The 20,773-nt window shown below is 43.3% G+C and overlaps 1 long non-coding RNA gene across 1 annotated transcript in view; it reads left to right on the forward strand.

The window, feature by feature from the left end:
* Nucleotides 1–2,155: 2,155 nt before the first annotated feature.
* The window catches only part of LOC124904265 (uncharacterized), a 56,143-nt gene continuing 37,525 nt past the window's right edge, over nucleotides 2,156–20,773 (forward strand). Inside the window, exons 1-2 of the long non-coding RNA XR_007066310.1 lie at nucleotides 2,156–2,186; nucleotides 18,754–18,917. This is a non-coding gene — a long non-coding RNA (uncharacterized LOC124904265). The remainder of the gene's footprint in view (nucleotides 2,187–18,753; nucleotides 18,918–20,773) is intronic.

A 20,773-nucleotide genomic window follows, 5' to 3' on the forward strand; every position in this document is an offset into this window, starting at 1 on the left:
GGATTAAGGAAGAATAAGGGTAGAGGCGGGAAGGCCGTGAATGCCTGGATGACCTTCCCCCCACCAGAGGTGAAGGGGTGGTGCCGTTGTAAGGTACAAAGGTCCCCTGGAGGGAACCAGTGCTTTCCTCCCTAAATTGTTCATACCCAATAATAAACACATACCAGATAGCACACACATGGAATGCTGGGGGCTGTTGGAAGCAGACCCAGGCTGTCGGGAATCCCCTGAACCAAGGCATGAAAAACATTCTCTTCCTTCGCACGTGTAACACTCTCCCAGTATAACTGTTTCTCTTAAAGCCATAGGTGTCTGTTTTTGAGTTTGCTCCTTGGAGACAGAAACAGGATTACAATATATGGTGTTTTTTCCTCATTTCCTGCTATAGGCTGTTTTAAGTTTCTGTGACAGCTTTTCTACATATTTCTTCCTTCAAATGGTGAATCTATGTATGGCCATGTTAATGACTGGGACATAGACTTAAAATGGGAATGCTTAGGAAATGGAATGTTCTTTAACCAGTATTGTTTCATCTGCTATTATTGGGGAAAAAGAAATCTCTCTACAGATTTCAAACCCACTTTGCTGGTGCAATGGAATGATCAAATAGACTCTCTCTTTGAAGATCTGGCATCTTGTCCAGCCTCAGAGTCATTATTTAGATTATCATTTGGGTCATCGGTGACCTCAGTGCTGTGGACCCTGGGAGAAGGACTGAGGATTAGAGCCAGAAGACGTGGGTTTCAGGATTGGCTCTACTTAGTAGCTGGGAGATTCTAGGCAAATTGCTTTTTAAAAAAAATTCAAAATTCTCTAAATCTGTTTCCTCCTCTGAAGAGTGAGAATAAGACGCAAACCTACCTACTTCTCAGGATTATGTGAAGATTACAAAAATCCTCTGTGAAAGCATTTCCATCAACCTCAAACTCTCCACAACTCTAAGAGCTGGAGGCACCTGAAACCAGGCTGAATCTGTACAAATGGGACAGGTGGGTTCTAAAAGTTCATTTATAAAAGAAACCTCCCAAGTGAGTCTAACTTGTTCTTTATCTCTTTGTCCTGTAAGGGGCCACTGGAAAAAAATGAGTCAAAGTTTTCCATTCAAGTGAATTTTCAGATAGTTGTCTGCATCCTCACAGAACAGACAAAGAAATCAAGACTTTACAAGTTGTTTATTTGTTTTAAAGTGACTTTTCCCAAATCTTGCAGCTAGCAACTGTCAGTGTCGGGATTCGCATCTGAACTTAAGACCTGCAGGGAGAGGCTGCTGGAATTTCTGCTTTTCATAAAGCCCTGAAGAGCGTGAACAAAAAGACAATGGGGGAACATGAGTCAAGCCCTGTAGCAGGACCTAGACTCTGAGGTGAGGGCCACCCCTGAAGCTCCAGGCTTCAGGGGCAGCACTCAGGAGAGGCACTTCTTCTGATGGGAGAAAACTGAATGGGACATTTGCAGTAAGGGGTGCTGGTGGGTACTACATGTGGGGCCACACTCGAGCTGCCTTCTCAGTCAACCCCTTTGGCAGCTTGGGCCAAGTCTCTCTGAAGAGGAAGACTGTGATATCTGAACTCGTGAGTTCACAGAGTGCTCACCTGGAGACTTTGTGAGAAACAGACTGGGAAGATCTCTGTAAAAGAATCAGGCCAGGCACGGTGGCTCACGCCTGTAATCTCAGCATTTTGGGACGCCGAGGTGGGCGGATCACGTGAGGTCAGGAGTTCGAGACTAGTCTGGCCAATATGGCGAAATCCCATTTCTACTAAAAAATACAAAAATTAGCCAGGCATGGCTGCTCATGCCTGTAATCCCAGCCACTCGGGAGGCTAAGGAAGGAGAACCACTTGAACCCTGGAGACAGAGGTTGCAGTGAGCCGAGATCTTGCCACTGCACTCCAGCCTGGGCGACAGAGCGAGACTCCATCTTAAAAAATAAAAATTAAAAAAAGAATCGATTGCTGGTAGGAGAGGGTTCCTTCTTGCACTCAGCACAGTGGCTGACCAAGACAAGTAATCCAGACCATGTTGGTGACCAGGTGAGCACTGGGGATGCCGGGAGGGGTGACATCACGAGGACAGTCTATGGGAAGACACTGCCTGAGCACGCTGGTCCCCCATTGACATGTGGCCTTCGAGACAATTACTGCACACCACGCCCTTGCAGTTGAAGCAGGAAAGAGTAACACAAGGTATTTTGATTGCACATGGAATATTTTCTCGCTTCTTCATCTCATTCTTTTTCTAAGAGCAATGCCTAGGTTTCATTCAAAGGTTCAGAAACCTAAACTTTAGTTTTCCTCATTATTCACCCCTTAGAAATGTGACCATTGTTTCCCTCTTGCTACGACCCCACTGCCCTGAGAGAAGACCGTGTGATGCGCGGGCACAAGCAGAGGCTTTGCCAGCAGGCAGGAGTGGGTCTGATGTCTGGCCCTGACTTTTACCACCCCTTTAATTTCAGAAAGCCATTCAGGGCCTTGCGCGGTGGCTGACACCCGTAATCCCAGCACTTTGGAAGGCCGAGGCGGGTGGATCATTTGAGGTCAGGAGTTTGAGACCAGCCTGACCAACACGGTGAAACCCCGTCTCTACTAAAATACAAAAAATTAGGCGGGTGTGGTGGCACACACTTGTAATCCCAGTACTCAGGAGGCTGAGGTGGGAGGATCGCTGGAGTCCAGGACACAGAGGTTGCAGTGAGCCAAAATCGGGCCATTGCACTCCAGCCTGGGCAACAGAGGGAGACCATGTCCCCCCGAAAAAAAGCCATTCGGCAATGAGGCCCTCATTGTTAGACAAGAATAATTAATGAGGTGTCATCGAGTTGTTGAAAAGACTACATGCAGTAAGTCTGTCTGGTGCTTCATGAGTACCTACTACATGGTAGCCATTGTTTTAATAAATAGGGAGGTGTTTCTATTAAAAACAGAACTTGGCCAGGGGCAGTGGCTCACACTTGTAATCCCAGAGCTTTGGGAGGCCAAGGTGGGTAGATTGCTTGAGCCCAGGAGTTTGAGACCAGCCTGGACAACATAGTGAGACCCTGTCTCTACAAAAAATTTAAAAAATTAGCTGGGCATGGTGATACATATCTATAGTCCTGGCTACTCAGGAGGTTGAGATGAGAGGAAAACTTGTGGCCAGGAGGTTGAGGCTGCAGTGAGCAGTGATTGCACCACTGCACTCTGGCCTGGGTGACAGAGGAGACTTTGTCTCAAAAACAACAACAACAACAACAAAAAAACAGGACTTAAGATGAGTCTTCAACCAGTCTCAGGGGACTGCAACTTTTCTGTGTAAACAATGCCTAACTGTGTAAGAATTGTCGTATAGAATTAATTGCCCATCCTCTTCCTCTGTCTCCACATCAAAGCATCTGAGATTTCTGCTTCACCCCCAATAAGACCGGTCCGCTGTCAGGTTCTCTCAAAATCTTCTTTCTTCAAATTTGAATTTCACATCATTATTTACTACTCCACCCTTTTCTAACATCTGCTAATTCTTCCTTTCAATTCCCCTACCTTTGCAGGGTAGTTTTTTTTCCCCCCAGGGAAATTCACATTCTCCTGTTAATAATTCATAAATGTTGCCAGACACAGATGAATGAAACCATTTCCCATTCATGTCCTGCTTTCCAGGGATGCTGTGAGAATTAGTTAGATGACATCTGCAATTCACAGCCCGCTCTAAGAGAAACATGATATATTCACATCACATTTAACAGAACATTCTTTCTATGCAAGGCAAATAACTGCTGCCATACGCCTGCTTCAAATGGGCCCAACCCCTGCCCCTGGGGACCTCTTATAAACCCGTCACCTGTAGCAGCTTAACTCTTCTTTAGGTGTGTACAATTCCACTGAACAGTAGTGAATTTCTGATTAGCAATATTGTCAAATGAGTGGTATTCTTTCCCCCAAATTTGAATCTAACAGGGTGCCCAGACACTTAGTCAAATGTCCCTGTCTCACTATTTCTACTCTACCCACCTCCTCCCTGCATTTCATGACAGGTGGAGATTTCCTTTCCTCTGGACAAAGAGACCGGTTCCATGGTGGACCCTGACTCATCCTTGAACTTTTCCAGCCGCTGCAGTATTTTCTTAGGCCTGATCACCACTTTCTGTTTTTATGGAATTTCAACCTTAGTATCAAACTCATGCCACAAAAATAGAATTTAGCTATAATAAGAAACTAGGGGCTCAGTGGGGTGGCTCACGCCTTTAATCCCAGTACTTTGGGAGGCCGAGGTGGGAGGATCACGAGGTCAGGGATTCAAGACCAGCCTGACCAACATGGTGAAACCCCATCTCTACTAAAAATACAAAAATTAGCTGGGTGTGGTGGTGCGCCTGTAATCCCAGCTACTCCGGAGGCTGAGGCAGGAGAATCACTTGACCCCGGGAGGCAGAGGTTGCAGTGAGCCGTGATCGCACCAGACTGGGTGACAGAGTAAGACTCTGTCTCAAAAAAAAAAAAAAAAAGAAAGAAGAAGAAAGAAAAAGAAACTAGGTGTCAGTGGCCATTATTCCTACCTGTGAAGACTTAAAACATAAATTTGATATTTGGATGAGACTGGCCTTTACCATAATATTAATAACATTTGTTCACAGAAAATGGCATAGCATTGACCACAGTTTGTAATTAGATAGTATGTGATTTTCTTTCTTTCTTTTTTTTTTTTTTCTTAACTATCTGCCTCTCTTGCATGCTATTGTACCTATAACTCTGGACTGAGAGGAAACACCTTCTAGAAACAGGCAGTGCCCAGAGAGAGAAGCACAGGTCCACGCAGGCAGCCAAAGCCATCTTCTTGGTTGAAAGATACTCTTTTCGGGGGGAGGAGCCAAGATGGCCGAGTAGGAACAGCTCCGGTCTACAGCTCCCAGCGTGAGCGACAAAGAAGACGGGTGATTTCTGCATTTGCATCTGAGGTACCCGGTTCATCTCACTAGGGAGTGCCAGACAGTGGGCGCAGGTCAGTGGGTGCGCGCACCGTGCGCAAGCCGAAGCAGGGCGAGGCATTGCCTCACCTGGGAAGCGCAAGGGGTCAGGGAGTTCCCTTTCTGAGTCAAAGAAAGGGGTGACGGACGGCACCTGGAAAATCGGGTCACTCCCACCCGAATACCGCGCTTTTCCGACGGGCTTAAAAAACGGCGCACTGTGAGATTATATCCCGCACCTGGCTCGGAGGGTCCTACGCCCACGGAGTCTCGCTGATTGCTAGCAGAGCAGTCTGAGATCAAACTGCAAGGCGGCAGCGAGGCTGGGGGAGGGGCACCCGCCATTGCCCAGGCTTGATTAGGTAAATAAAGCAGCCGGGAAGCTCCAACTGGGTGGAGCCCACCACAGCTCAAGGAGGCCTGCCTGCCTCTGTAGGCTCCACCTCTGGGGGCAGGACACAGACAAACAAAAAGACAGCAGTAACCTCTGCAGACTTAAATGTCCCTGTCTGACAGCTTTGAAGAGAGCAGTGGTTCTCCCAGCACGCAGCTGGAGATCTGAGAAGGGGCAGACTGCCTCCTTAAGTGGGTCCCTGACCCCTGACCCCCGAGCAGCCTAACTGGGAGGCACCCCCCAGCAGGGGCACACTGACACCTCACACAGCAGGGTACTCCAACAGACCTGCAGCTGAGGGTCCTCTCTGTTAGAAGGAAAACTAACAAACAGAAAGGACATCCACACCAAAAACCCATCTGTACATCACCATCATCAAAGACCAAAAGTAAATAAAAACCACAAAGATGGGGAAAAAACAGAACAGAAAAACTTGAAACTCTAAAAAGCAGAGCGCCTCTCCTCCTCCAAAGGAACGCAGTTCCTCACCAGCAACGGAACAAAGCTGGATGGAGAATGACTTTGACGAGCTGAGAGAAGAAGGCTTCAGACGATCAAATTACTCTGAGCTACGGGAGGACATTCAAACCAAAGGCAAAGAAGTTGAAAACTTTGAAAAAAATTTAGAAGAATGTATAACTAGAATAACCAATACAGAGAAGTGCTTAAAGGCGCTGATGGAGCTGAAAACCAAGGCTCGAGAACTACGTGAAGAATGCAGAAGCCTCAGGAGCCGATGCGATCAACTGGAAGAAAGGGTATCAGCGATGGAAGATGAAATGAATGAAATGAAGCGAGAAGGGAAGTCTAGAGAAAAAAGAATAAAAAGAAATGAGCAAAGCCTCCAAGAAATATGGGACTATGTGAAAAGACCAAATCTACGTCTGATTGGTGTACCTGAAAGTGATGCGGAGAATGGAACCAAGTTGGAAAACACTCTGCAGGATATTATCCAGGAGAACTTCCCCAATCTAGCAAGGCAGGCCAACGTTCAGATTCAGGAAATACAGAGAACGCCACAAAGATACTCCTCGAGAAGAGCAACTCCGAGACACATAATTGTCAGATTCACCAAAGTTGAAATGAAGGAAAAAATGTTAAGGGCAGCCAGAGAGAAAGGTCGGGTTACCCTCAAAGGGAAGCCCATGAGACTAACAGCGAATCTCTCGGCAGAAACCCTACAAGCCAGAAGAGAGTGGGGGCCAATATTCAACACTCTTAAAGAAAAGAATTTTCAACCCAGAATTTCATATCCAGCCAAACTAAGCTTCATAAGCGAAGGAGAAATAAAATACTTTACAGACAAGCAAATGCTGAGAGATTTTGTCACCACCAGACCTGCCTTACAAGAGCTCCTGAAGGAAGCACGAAACATGGAAAGGAACAACCGGTACCAGCTGCTGCAAAATTATGCCAAAATGTAAAGACCATCGAGACTAGGAAGAAACTCCATCAACTAACGAGCAAAATAACCAGCTAACATCATAATGACAGGATCAAATTCACACATAACAATATTAACTTTAAATGTAAATGGACTAAATGCTCCAATTAAAAGACACAGACTGGCAAATTGGATAAAGAGTCAAGACCCATCAGTGTGCTATATTCAGGAAACCCATCTCACGTGCAGAGACACACATAGGCTCAAAATAAAAGGATGGAGGAAGATCTACCAAGCCAATGGAAAACAAAAAAAGGCAGGGGTTGCAATCCTAGTCTCTGATGAAACAGACTTTAAACCAACAAAGATCAAAAGAGACAAAGAAGGCCATTACATAATGGTAAAGGGATCAATTCAACAAGAAGAGCTAACTATCCTAAATATATATGCACCCAATACAGGAGCACCAAGATTCATAAAGCAAGTCCTGAGTGACCTACAAAGAGACTTAGACTCCCAAACATTAATAATGGGAGACTTTAACACCCCACTGTCAACATTAGACAGATCAACGAGACAGAAAGTCAACAAGGATACCCAGGAATTGAACTCAGCTCTGCACCAAGCAGACCTAATAGACATCTACAGAACTCTCCACCCCAAATCAACAGAATATACATTTTTTTCAGCACCACACCACACCTATTCCAAAATTGACCACATACTGGGAAGTAAAGCTCTCCTCAGCAAATGTAAAAGAACAGAAATTATAGCAAACTATCTCTCAGACCACAGTGCAATCAAACTAGAACTCAGGATTAAGAATCTCACTCAAAACCGCTCAACTACATGGAAACTGAACAACCTGCTCCTGAATGACTACTGGGTACATAACGAAATGAAGGCAGAAATAAAGATGTTCTTTGAAACCAACGAGAACAAAGACACAACATACCAGAATCTCTGGGACGCATTCAAAGCAGTGTGTAGAGGGAAATTTATAGCACTAAGTGCCCACAAGAGAAAGCAGGAAAGATCCAAAATTGACACCCTAACATCACAATTGAAAGAACTAGAAAAGCAAGAGCAAACACATTCAAAAGCTAGCAGAAGGCAAGAAATAACTAAAATCAGAGCAGAACTGAAGGAAATAGAGACACAAAAAACCCTTCAAAAAATTAATGAATCCAGGAGCTGGTTTTTTGAAAGGATCAACAAAATTGATAGACCACTAGCAAGACTAATAAAGAAAAAAAGAGAGAAGAATCAAATAGATGCAATAAAAAATGATAAAGGGGATATCACCATCGATCCCACAGAAATACAAACTACCATCAGGGAATACTACAAACACCTCTACGCAAATAAACTAGAAAATCTAGAAGAAATGGATAAATTCCTGGACACATACACTCTCCCAAGACTAAACCAGGAAGAAGTTAAATCTCTGAATAGACCAATAACAGGAGCTGAAATTGTGGCAATAATCAATAGCTTAGCAATCAAAAAGAGTCCAGGACCAGATGGATTCACAGCCGAATTCTACCAGCGGTACAAGGAGGAACTGGTACCATTCCTTCTGAAACTATTCCAATCAATAGAAAAAGAGGGAATCCTCCCTAACTCATTTTATGAGGCCAGCATCATTCTGATACCAAAGCCAGGCAGAGACACAACAAAAAAAGAGAATTTTAGACCAATATCCTTGATGAACATTGATGCAAAAATCCTCAATAAAATACTGGCAAACCGAATCCAGCAGCACATCAAAAAGCTTATCCACCATGATCAAGTGGGCTTCATCCCTGGGATGCAAGGCTGGTTCAATATACACAAATCAATAAATGTAATCCAACATATAAACAGAGCCAGAGACAAAAACCACATGATTATCTCAATAGATGCAGAAAAAGCCTTTGACAAAATTCAACAACCCTTCATGCTAAAAACTCTCAATAAATTAGGTATTGATGGGACGTATCTCAAAATAATAAGAGCTATCTATGACAAACCCACAGCCAATATCATACTGAATGGGCAAAAACTGGAAGCATTCCCTTTGAAAACTGGCACAAGACAGGGATGCCCTCTCTCACCACTCCTATTCAACATAGTGTTGGAAGTTCTGGCCAGGGCAATTAGGCAGGAGAAGGAAATAAAGGGTATTCAATTAGGAAAAGAGGAAGTCAAATTGTCCCTGTTTGCAGACGACATGATTGTATATCTAGAAAACCCCATTGTCTCAGCCCAAAATCTCCTTAAGCTGATAAGCAACTTCAGCAAAGTCTCAGGATACAAAATCAATGTACAAAAATCACAAGCATTCTTATACACCAACAACAGACAAACAGAGAGCCAAATCATGAGTGAACTCCCATTCACAATTGCTTCAAAGAGAATAAAATACCTAGGAATCCAACTTACAAGGGATGTGAAGGACCTCTTCAAGGAGAACTACAAACCACTGCTCAAGGAAATAAAAGAGGATACAAACAAATGGAAGAACATGCCATGCTCATGGGTAGGAAGAATCAATATCGTGAAAATGGCCATACTGCCCAAGGTAATTTACAGATTCAATGCCATCCCCATCAAGCTACCAATGGCTTTCTTCACAGAATTGGAAAAAACTACTTTAAAGTTCATATGGAACCAAAAAAGAGCCCGCATCGCCAAGTCAATCCTAAGTCAAAAGAACAAAGCTGGAGGCATCACACTACCTAACTTCGAACTATACTACAAGGCTACAGTAACCAAAACAGCATGGTACTGGTACCAAAACAGATATATAGACCAATGGAACAGAACAGAGCCCTCAGAAATAACACCGCATATCTACAACTATCTGATCTTTGACAAACCTGGGAAAAACAAGCAATGGGGAAAGGATTCCCTATTTAATAAATGGTGCTGGGAAAACTGGCTAGCCATATGTAGAAAGCTGCAACTGGATCCCTTCCTTACACCTTATACAAAAATCAATTCAAGATGGATTAAAGACTTAAACGTTAGACCTAAAACCATAAAAACCCTAGAAGAAGACCTAGGCATTACCATTCAGGACATAGGCATGGGCAAGGACTTCATGTCTAAAACACCAAAAGCAATGGCAACAAAAGACAAAATTGACAAATGGGATCTAATTAAACTCAAGAGCTTCTGCACAGCAAAAGAAACCACCATCAGAGTGAACAGGCAACCTACAAAATGGGAGAAAATTTTCGCAACCTACTCATTTGACAAAGGGCTAATATCCAGAATCTACAATGAACTCCAACAAATTTACAAGAAAAAAACAAACAACCCCATCAAAAAGTGGGCGAAGGACATGAACAGACACTTCTCAAAAGAAGACATTTATGCAGCCAAAAAACACATGAAAAAATACTCATCATCACTGGCCATTAGAGAAATGCAAATCAAAACCACAATGAGATACCATCTCACACCCGTTAGAATGGCAACCATTAAAAACTCAGGAAACAACAGGTGCTGGAGAGGATGTGGAGAAATAGGAACACTTTTACACTGTTGGTGGGACTGTAAACTAGTTCAACCATTGTGGAAGTCAGTGTGGCGATTCCTCAGGGATCTAGAACTGGAAATACCATTTGACCCAGCCATCCCATTACTAGGTATATACCCAAAGGACTATAAATCATGCTGCTATAAAGACACATGCACCCGTATGTTTATTGCGGCATTATTCACAATAGCAAAGACTTGGAACCAACCCAAATGTCCAACAATGATAGACTGGATTAAGAAAATGTGGCACATATACACCATGGAATACTATGCAGCCATAAAAAAGGATGAGTTCATGTCCTTTGTAGGGACATGGATGAAATTGGAAATCATTATTCTCAGTAAACTATCCCAAGAACAAAAAACCAAACACCGCATATTCTCACTCATAGGTGGGAACTGAACAATGAGATCACATGGACACAGGAAGGGGAATATCACACTCTGGGGACTGTTGTGGGGTGGTAGGAGGGGGGAGGGATAGCATCGGGAGATATACCTAATGCTAGATGACGAGTTAGTGGGTGCAGCGCACCAGCATGGCACATGTATACATATGTAACTAACCTGCACAATGTGCACATGTACCCTAAAACTTAAAAGTATAATAAAAAATAATAATAAAAAAAAAACAAAAGAAAACAAAAAAAAAAGAAAGATACCCTTTTCTTCCAACTTAAATAAAAGGCATAACTAGTTTAAGCAAGGCTATTGGCAGGAATGCATCACCAGCTCAAAGGGCAGGTTTTGATGCCAGCCCCAGGACTCAGTAGCTGAAAGTTCCACATCCCACACACACAACCAGGCAGAGAGAGGCTTCCCTTCCAGGAAAATGGCATTTCGGTGTCAGTCCCTGCATATTATGTCCGTTAATCTCTTTCCTTCTTTTTTCTGCTCTTTTACCCTCTTTCCTGACATGGCAAGTGGTGCCAATCTTTCTTTTTTCTGTTTTTCTTCTTTTTTTTTTTTTTTTTTTTTTGAGACACAGTCTGCAGTGACTGGATCTCTGCTCATTATAGCCTCAACCTCCCCAGGTGCAAGTGATCCTCCCACCTCAGCACCCCCTGCCCCCACACCGAGTAGCTGGGACTATAGGCATGCACAACCACGCCTGGCTAATTTTCGTATTTTTTGTAGAGATTGGGTTTCCCCATGTTGCCCAGGCTGGTCTCGAACTCCTGAGCTCAAGCGATCTGCCCTCCTCGGCCTCCCAAAGTGCTGGGGTTACAGGCATGAACCACCGGGCTGGCCATCTTTTTTTCTCTTGTGTCAGTCTTGTTCTTTGATGGAAAAGATGAGAGGGATTGGAGGGGCCTTGAATGACAGCCTCATTTGGTGCATTCTCACAGGTCACAGTTCAGGCAACTCTAGGAAGTGAAACATTCTGAGAACTCTTCCCAAGGAGATATGCTTTATTTTGTTTTCCCCTGTAAGTCTCCTTGACTTATTTGCTGTCAGGAAATTTGAACTCTTGATATTATAAATATGGGGAAAAATTTCTGTTTTGTTTTATTTTGTTTGTTTTTATTCTGGGCCCACTACACAATCTCTTAGCAGGTCATTGTGTTTTTATAAGGAAAACCTAAGCCTTTGTCTGGCGATCCTTCTCTCTGTTCCTGTGCAAGAAGGAGGGGCCAGAAGTTTTCTGGCCCCAGCAGGAGGCGTGGCAGGCCGAGCAACAAGTCACTATGGCGGACACATGGCGACTGCAGAGAGGCTGTCAGTGGAGCTATCTGGGCAAGCCCTGAAGGAATTCCAAAAGGGCCCTTTATCTCCAAAACAGTTTAAGGTGTTGATTTTGTTTCCTTCAAAGCGTGACAGTGTGGGCAAGCTTTCCTCAATAAAGCCATCAGAGCAGGCGGGAGGAATCCAATTCTCTTGATGAGATTAGAAATGTGATTCTCAAGACTGTGGGGCAGGAAGAGGGACTTTTTCAAGCTACAAGTTGGCCAGAATCACCCAGAATCACTGCCCTTGAGGAGAAATGTCACTGATGGGAATACGTTACATACATGATGGTGAGGAGGTAAAAAAGAAGTGTTGGGAACCATTAGAATCTGCAGTGTGTGCATGTGTGTCTGTGTGTGTGTGTGTCTGTGTGTGTATGTGTGTTTGGCCCATGAGAAAGATTATTCCCAGCCCTCAGACTTTCCTAAAGTATGAACAACGTTAAGAGATCCAACTTTTGATTTGGATTTGAGATTTTCGATTTAATGTGACATATTAATGAAAGCAATGTGTGGTATTTCACATCACAGTTTTCTTCAGAGTACTGCAAGATTCAGTCCTAGATAAGTCAGGAGGATACCCAGGAAGCTGAAAGAAAAAGGGACCAAAGATCAAAATGGGGGAGAAACAAAAGGACACTACTCCCAAATAAGTTATTTAAGTTTGTGAGACAAACAATACTATTTGGGGGAAGTATTAAAAGCCCTGCAAAGGCCTACACTCTATGAAGGCAAAATGGCTGCCTTCACTCTGCTGGCCTTCATGGCACTGGAAGAAAGTCCAGCATGAGTGGAAGTTTCTGGAACCCCTCATGGAGCTGGGGGTAGGGGGAGTGTGCTGGGTCCATGGGCACCGGGTCACTGACCACAATTCTGACCTGGTGCCTAACTGTCAAGCTATTTTATGGCATAGCGGCATTGGATACACATTTGGGTGTAGCTAAGTTGTATTTGTCATGAATATTCATTCAAGTGAATAGAGAAGCATTCCATAGATTGAGCTTTACACCTTAGTGAGGATCGATAATATTGGTTTGATTTTAAAAGAACACATTCTCTTATTTAAATTTTTTCTATGTGGTTTCTAAAAGGTCAAGTGTGTTTTTCATAAAGGTGAGAATATATTCCTAAGCAAAATGAAAAAAAGTTGGAGTATAAATATGAAATCCTTAAAATCTAAGTATATGGATTATAAGATTCCACAGAAAATTTAAGGTGAAGGGGGGCCACTTTTTATTGGATGCTTGCTATATGCCAGACCAAGTGCTTTACAAATATTGTTGATGAATGAATGAATGAATGATCCTACATGATATTTACTAATATTTCTATTTTACCAATGAGGAAACTGAGGCTGTTGGAGTTTGTAAGAAGTCACCCCATCTGATAGATGTCAGAAATAGAATTCAAACCCAAATATTTCTGACTCTGATTTATGTAATGTAGGAGAGATTTAGAATAGAGTGCTGGAAAGAATCACATTTAATAAACTCCCCCCACTGTCTTGGGCCAGTTGATGAAGACAGCTTTTATTTTTCTCCTTGGAGTCCCTAACTTCCCCCACTGAGTGCCAATCTCCTCATTTCATTTTCTCACGTTACTCATCTCTTTTATCCACTCGATTCTGGTTGAAATTAGTGGAATCTTCATGCTGAAGAGCTTCTAATGACATAGAGAACAGGGAATACTAACCCAATGTTCTGATCTTTTTTAAAAGCCCAGACAGAAAATAATATTGGCCCCAGCGGTCAAAACCCAGACAACTCTAGTTTTGATGGGATAGCTCCCAAAAAGTTCAGATGCTTCCCTGAACTCATCCAAACCTTGGGCGGTCTCCTGCTTTTCCGGAGGGAACATGCTTGGTGAATGATGCACCAAGTTGAAACACATGGAGAATGCCCTCCGTGGGGACTCTTGGGTCTTGTATGAGGTTAAGTCCCAATTGCACATCAAGCTGCCGTGGTATTTCTCCTCTGCAAGCAGACTTTGTCCTGTTGAAAATGGAATCTCAACCACACAAAAAGCACTGGAAGTTACATTAGTGAAGTCATCAACCATGTATGCACGGTCTTCGTTTTATGCATCTACCTTGCATCAGATGCTAGCCTACACACGTCACCTGTGTTATTTCATTTACTCTTTGCAACAAAACTGCCAGGTGGTTGTTATCTTTACTTAACAAATGAGGAAACCAAGGCCTGGGTTGATCAAGTAATGTACTCAAAGTCACATGACTTGAAGGTGGCAGTAGGGATTTAAGCCAACTCTGTTCATCTTCAAAAAGTGTGTTTCTAATCACGTCACAGCGTCTCCTGACCAGTCCAGAAAGACACCAGCAAATATTAACATCTGGGAGTGAATTTGTACCCTAGCTTTATTTCCAATTGATGACATCTTTTCTTGTTTACTTCTTAAAGCAGGGATAGAAGCAGTGGAGCTGGCAAGCACCCCTGGTTCACATGTAGCAAACATGGGTGACGTGGCCAGGCTGCTGGACAGAGGTTATTGGTTCAGGCCAAGTGATGGGAGTTAATAAGCTCCAAGGAAAAGTAAACCCTCAGCTGACTGGAACCTCTGAGAACCCTATCAGAAAAAAAATTTGACAAGATAGACTAGGATTAAAATTCATGGATGGCTTTAGAACTCAGAAATAAATCAGGAAGAAAAAAAATATATGTGCAAGCCAATTCCATAAATACTAGAACCTCGTAGAATCATTAAAAGTCCCCATAACTTGGGCCTGAGTGCAACTGTGGTCCCTTCACTGTAGTAATTTAAACTCGACTGTTTATTTTGGCTTCTGCCTTCTCAATGACTTGTTCTAATCGAAATGCTTTGATGAGATGCACAAAAGGAATAAAAATATGATTGAAAAGCCAGAGAGTAATATCTTGGTTTAAAACAACTGTGAGCACAAACTTTAATCTTTGGCATTGCCATAAGGGCTATCTTAGACTAACTGGGGCAAACACTTTTAGGATCTTGTTTGGAAAAACATTTTTGGTTTTAGAGTGGGTGTCCATGTATCATAACACAACACTTACAAAACATAATTTTTTAAAAAAGCCTCTTATTCTGCCTACAATCCATGTGCTTTTGACATCATAAGCTCCATTTCTTGAAGGCTTCTATAAAAATCCATGGCTTATGGAAGGTAAAGGCAACATTATGCTGAGTTCAAGCAATATTTGTGGGACTTGGGTTCCACTTTTTCTATAAAGAGCCAATGTGTTTTTCTCCTGTTTTACCTGAAGCACCTATGTGGATCTGCATGTCTTTAGTCATCTTGGTGGGGTGCTTACCTGAATTAGATATTATCTTCTGGAAGTCAATAGGAATAATAAATAATAAATGTTAATATTTTTTAAGTCAGATATTCTCAAGAAGAACTGGATTCAAAGCCTGGCCAAGCTAGTTGACCACCTGTGAGGCCATGGACAAGTTCCTTATATCTCAAATCACTAATTTTCTTACCTACAAATTGGTGGTAGTAATGCATTGGTTTGTACAAAGGATTCAATGAGTTAATATATGTTGTATTAGTTTGCTACTGCTGCCATAACAAAGTACCACAGACTGGGTGGCTTAAAAAACAAAATTCCCTTTTCTCATGGTTCTGGAGGCTGGAATCTGAGATCAAAGTGTTGGCAGGATTGGTTTCTTCTGAGGCCTCTCTCCTTGGCTTGTAGACAGCCGCCTTCTCCCTGTGTTTTCTTATGGTCTCCTCTCTGCGTGTATGTGTGTCCTAATCTTCTCTTCATATAGGGAAACCAAGCATATTTGGATTCAGACCCACCCATACGACTTCATTTTACCTTAATTACCTCTTTAAAGACCCTATCTCCAAATAAAGTCACATTCTGAGGTACTAGGCATTAGGACTTCAACATAGGAATTTTGGGAAGGGACACAACATATGAATCTTGGGAATTCATCCCATAGCCTATAAGAAATACCTAGAACATGCTATACTTTTAGTAAATGCTGAGTCCCTTCTCTTCTCCACTTCCAAGGTTTAGTGTCAATAAGATATGAAGCATGTACACAGGCTCTTTGAATTTTTCAGGTTCCTTGACAAAGGTACTAAATTGCAGGATAATCCCATTAAAATGGGATGTCCATTGTTGCTCACACAAGGGCCAGCAGTTTAAAAATGGAGGCAAACTCGGCTGGGTGTGGTGGCTCACACCTGTAATCCCAGCACTTTGGGAGGCCAAGGTGGGTGGATCATGAGGTCAGGAGATTGAGACCATCCTGGCTATGGTGAAACCCCATCTCTACTAAAAATACAAAAAATTAGCTGGGCATGGTGGCGGGCGCCTGTAGTACCAGCTACTCGGGAGGCTGAGGCAGGAGAATGGTGTGAACCCGGGAGATGGAGCTTGCAGTGAGCCAAGATGGCGCCACTGCACTCCAGCCTGGGCGACAGAGCGAGACTGTGTCTCAAAAAATAAATAAATAATTGAGGCAAACTCATCTTCACTTTACACCTCAAAAAGTGTAAGTCAAAATATAAAGAGGAAATTTTTAACTCCAGACCTCTCAGATCTCATTGATTTTTCTCTTGTTCAAAGGCAAGCAAAAAAAGTATTGAGCAATACACACAACAATGATGACAACTACAATGACGTGACAAGGGTGATCATAGCAGCTAACATTTACTGAGGACAAACACAGTCCTTTTTGCCTTTTAAAGGAAAGTCCTTTAAGTGCATTCTCCCATTTGATCTATCAACAACTCTACAAATGGTAGCTGTGTGTGCTTTAAAACAAGCTGAAAATTTTTTTAGAAAAAAAACACACATTGGGAATTTCTACATGTAAGAAAGGATAAAATCAGTCTTGATTTCATGAGAGGACTCACCAGTTCAGATTATTATTGTCACTCTAAATGTAGTTTTGCTGACATAAATACTATCTGGGTACCCTAGGGGCTGCTGACATCCACATTTGGAATTGTTGCATCTTCCGGAACAGAGATTCCTTGGTAGGTGTCAATTGATCTAGAGAGCTTGGAGGGGGCCTGCTTACAAGTCCTTCTCTACCTAGCACACTGCTCTGCATACCATGAAGATATAATAAGTATTTATAGAGTGAATGCTGCACCTTCCCCTCCAGACTCTGAGTTCCCTTCTCCCTTTAGGGTCATCACAGCCAGCAGCTCCGATGGACTCATAGATTAAACCCCTCCTATGGCCAATCAAAGACCCCCAAGAACACACTGTTGAAGATGAGAGGGCCCACCACTTGGGCCCTTGGTAATTTACTCTCAAATGCTCGGGGATTTTGAGCAAGAATCTTAGTCACGTGAACATATCTGTAAAACAGTTGTTGGGAAGGCAGAAAGACCAAATGTTGAAATTCTAAAGTTTTTACTTAATGACACTTCTACATACCCTTTCCAGGAGGGACCGATGTGGCAGCTTCCACTGATAATAATGGAAACGCACATTTTGAGACGTTGCAAGTCATGGACATGCCCAGGCCATGGTGCTGCCTGTTGGACGGTGCTTTGCTTGTTTCTGTCTGAAGAGGCTGGTTGCCTTTTTCTCATTCAGCTCAATGCAAACACCCATCAAGAAGGGTCAAGTGGGCATTGCTTTCAGAGTCTCCTTCAGGCTTGAACAAAGGCTTTGGAGACAGACAGGCATGCAGGGGTGCACACAGAGAGCTGCCCTCTGGCACTTCACTCTCTGGACATGCTCAGGCCTGTGGGCAGGGCCTTGAGTTTCTGGCCTGCCGTCAACTCCATTGAGCAGCGGCCTTGGCTGGGTCATACACAGCATTTTTTTCTGTCTGAAGGATGACCTGGTTAGCAAAGGACAAATACTAGCACTCCCAAAAAATAATTAAGTCTTTGGACCCTTTTCTGCAAACACAAATCTGTGTGAGGTTTTCTGGAGCAAATGCTGTAGGCTACATTCCAAAGGCCAAGAAGAAAAATACCACGCTGGTCAGTCACCCATGCTGTCTCCATAAATAGCACCATGCATTTCTGAAGCAATGAGCGATGTTAGACAATCCTCTTTATGGTACCAGTGGGACAGTGGCTTTAAGGGCCATGGATATGACAAAGAAAACAAGGGATGGACAGAGGGCGAAATCAGTCAGATCACAGTATGTTGGTTAAGTCACTTAATTACGCTGGAGCTCCATTATTCTCCGTTTTAAAGTTAGGCTGGCTCAGTGTGGTGGCTCACACCTGTAATCCCAGCACTTTGGGAGGCCAAGGCAGGAGGATCTCTTGAGCCCAGGAGTTCGAGACCAGCCTGGACAACAAAGTGAGAACCTGCCTCTACAAAAAATTTATTTTAAATAGCTGAGTGTGGTGGTGTGCACCTGTGGTCCCAGCTATTTGGGAGGCTAATGTGGGAGGATCGCTTGAGCCCAGGAAGTTGAGGGTGCAGTGAGCCATGATTGTGCCACTGCAACCCAGGCTGGGTGATACAGTGAGACCATGTCTCAACAAATAAAATAAAAAGGTTCAGCTGATACTGATAACTCTGTTCCATAAGGTAGTCCACTTAACCAGAGCCCATTTATCGAGAGCCTGCCATGTGCAGAGTCCTGCATAAAGGCTGGTGGTGAGATTGAATAGAATCGTGTAGTGAAGACACAGCCAAGCTGCTGCCTCATCAAAGGCTCTCCCTAAACGTTGGGTGACTGTGGGAAGTGGTTGGGGAAAGAGGACACATTAGGCCTGGGTTCTTTTAAAATGTGGATATTCGTTCAGGTTCTTTAAATAGTTATTGAAACTATTAAAAATTACTTTCTTCCACAGGAATAATGATTGAGCACCAGAAACAGACAAGCGAGGTCCTGGGAATAGAGCATAAACACAGGAAAAGCAAACTCCATTCTGGCTTGGGGGGACCTTGACTAAGCTTTGACAAATGTGCACAGACTCCCAAGAGGATCCAAGCCTTCAAATCCAGGTTCAAACAGGTAAAGAGTGGAGGGGCAAGGTGCCAGTTAAGTTGGGGGAAAGGCGATGAAAGGGGCAGATTAATATATTACAAGGAAAACTATAGGAGAATTCCTGGGAACAAACTAGCAGACATGTTTATCCTGCAAGAAGCCTGGGTGATTTGAGCGTTTGGCTGGAGGGAGGGGAAGAAGGAGCTAGCATTAATCATGCTCCCAAATTCAACTCCAGCATCTAACGAAATAGACAATAACTGGTTTCGCCACTCCTGTTCCTCACATCCCCTGGGGTCAAGGCCTGGCTGGAATTCAAACAGGATTTCAGATCGGGCCTGGAAAGTTGTGTACATTTAAGTTCATTCTGGAAGGCATGCTTGATATAGAAATGGATTTTTCTTGGTCTAATTTTGAGAGGATCTGAACTTAGTGAGAGTAAGTGGGTGCTTTAAATAATCTCCTACTCTTTTTTTCTTAAGAGGAGAATTTATCGCAGAGACTGGCCAATGGCACTGACCACACCTATTTCAAGTCCTAGCTTGGAACATAGATTTTTTGTGTTTTTAATGGAAAAATAGAAGTCCTTGTAAACTACCATTTACCTTTCATTTGCCTCTTCCTCATGTTGTGTGATTTCTTTTGGCATCATAGTGCTCCCCTAAAGGGTCCACCAAGGTGAACTTGGCTAGGCAGTGCTTCAAAACACCCCATCGGTGGAGATTAAGGATGACAGGTCAAAACCAATGCCACTCTTGGGCTGCCTGGCATGCACCTAGGAAATCAGGCACACCCATGCTGAAATAAGGAATCGACTTTGCTCAGGAAGAGTCATCTATGCATTTCTTCTTTCGGTGATATATGTAGTAGGGGTCAAGGGTGGGGACCGAATTTGGAGAGAGCAGGAGAGAAGGGCTGGAGGGGTGGATGAGATGGCAGACAGGGGAAGTAAACTAAGGGTAAACCAGAACATCCCATGACACCAGTTATGAGGAGACTCGCTAGTGCTGAAGTTTCTGCTGTGCCAAAGACGCCTGTTTCAGGATGAGTCCAATTTTAGCCCAGGAGAAATAAATCAACTATAGGGCAAAAGGTTTAATGAGTAAAATGTATCATTCCAAAAATGTGATGCAGTCCACATCCAAAGTTTCTAGGTCAAATAACATGAGGAACTAATGCAGAAAAAGAAAGCAGCTGCCTGGGCGTGGTGGCACGGGTCCCAGCACCAGGTCCTCACACCACATCCTTGTACCACATCCTCCCAACCTCCTACCACTGGGGTCCTGCCCAGCCAGGAGGCAATGGGAGGGAAACCCAGCCTTGCAATTCTTTAATTTTGGGGAAAGTGAGGTGGGGAGTTTCTGACTTGTATATCCTTTAATTAAAGGGAATCTGACCTCTTCTATGATGATAATAATAATAAAATGTCTCAGAAGAGAATGGGAGCGTGCAAGAGAGTTATGCATTATGCACAAGACAGCAGGGCTTGGAACAGTAAAATCTTGTTTGCTCACGCGGCTCTGAGTAACCTAAGGGGGAAAAAACTCAGAACATTATTGATTAGATGCCAATTCACATGGCTCTCTTTGTCTGCTTTTTATTATCAGTATTTCTTTAAAAGGTTAATAGATCCTGGTCCTGACAAGCGTGAAGCCAGGAGGTGGGCTCTTATCCAGTGTTTTCATTCTTCAGCCCTCAAGAGACAATGATTAGATCTTAATATTGAATGCACAAACCACACTCACTGTGTGAACTTTCTGAGAGAGCTCCCCACCTAAAGACAGAAGAAGTGAAGAAGTTTTATTGGAAGGATTGTCAAAGGCGGGGGGCGGGGAACACTTTGAGTCTCTTTGAGCCAGTTGATTAGGGGTGAGTTGATTTTC

Source organism: Homo sapiens, chromosome 18 (assembly GCF_000001405.40).
Source record: "Homo sapiens chromosome 18, GRCh38.p14 Primary Assembly".
Lineage (NCBI taxonomy): Eukaryota > Metazoa > Chordata > Mammalia > Primates > Hominidae > Homo > Homo sapiens.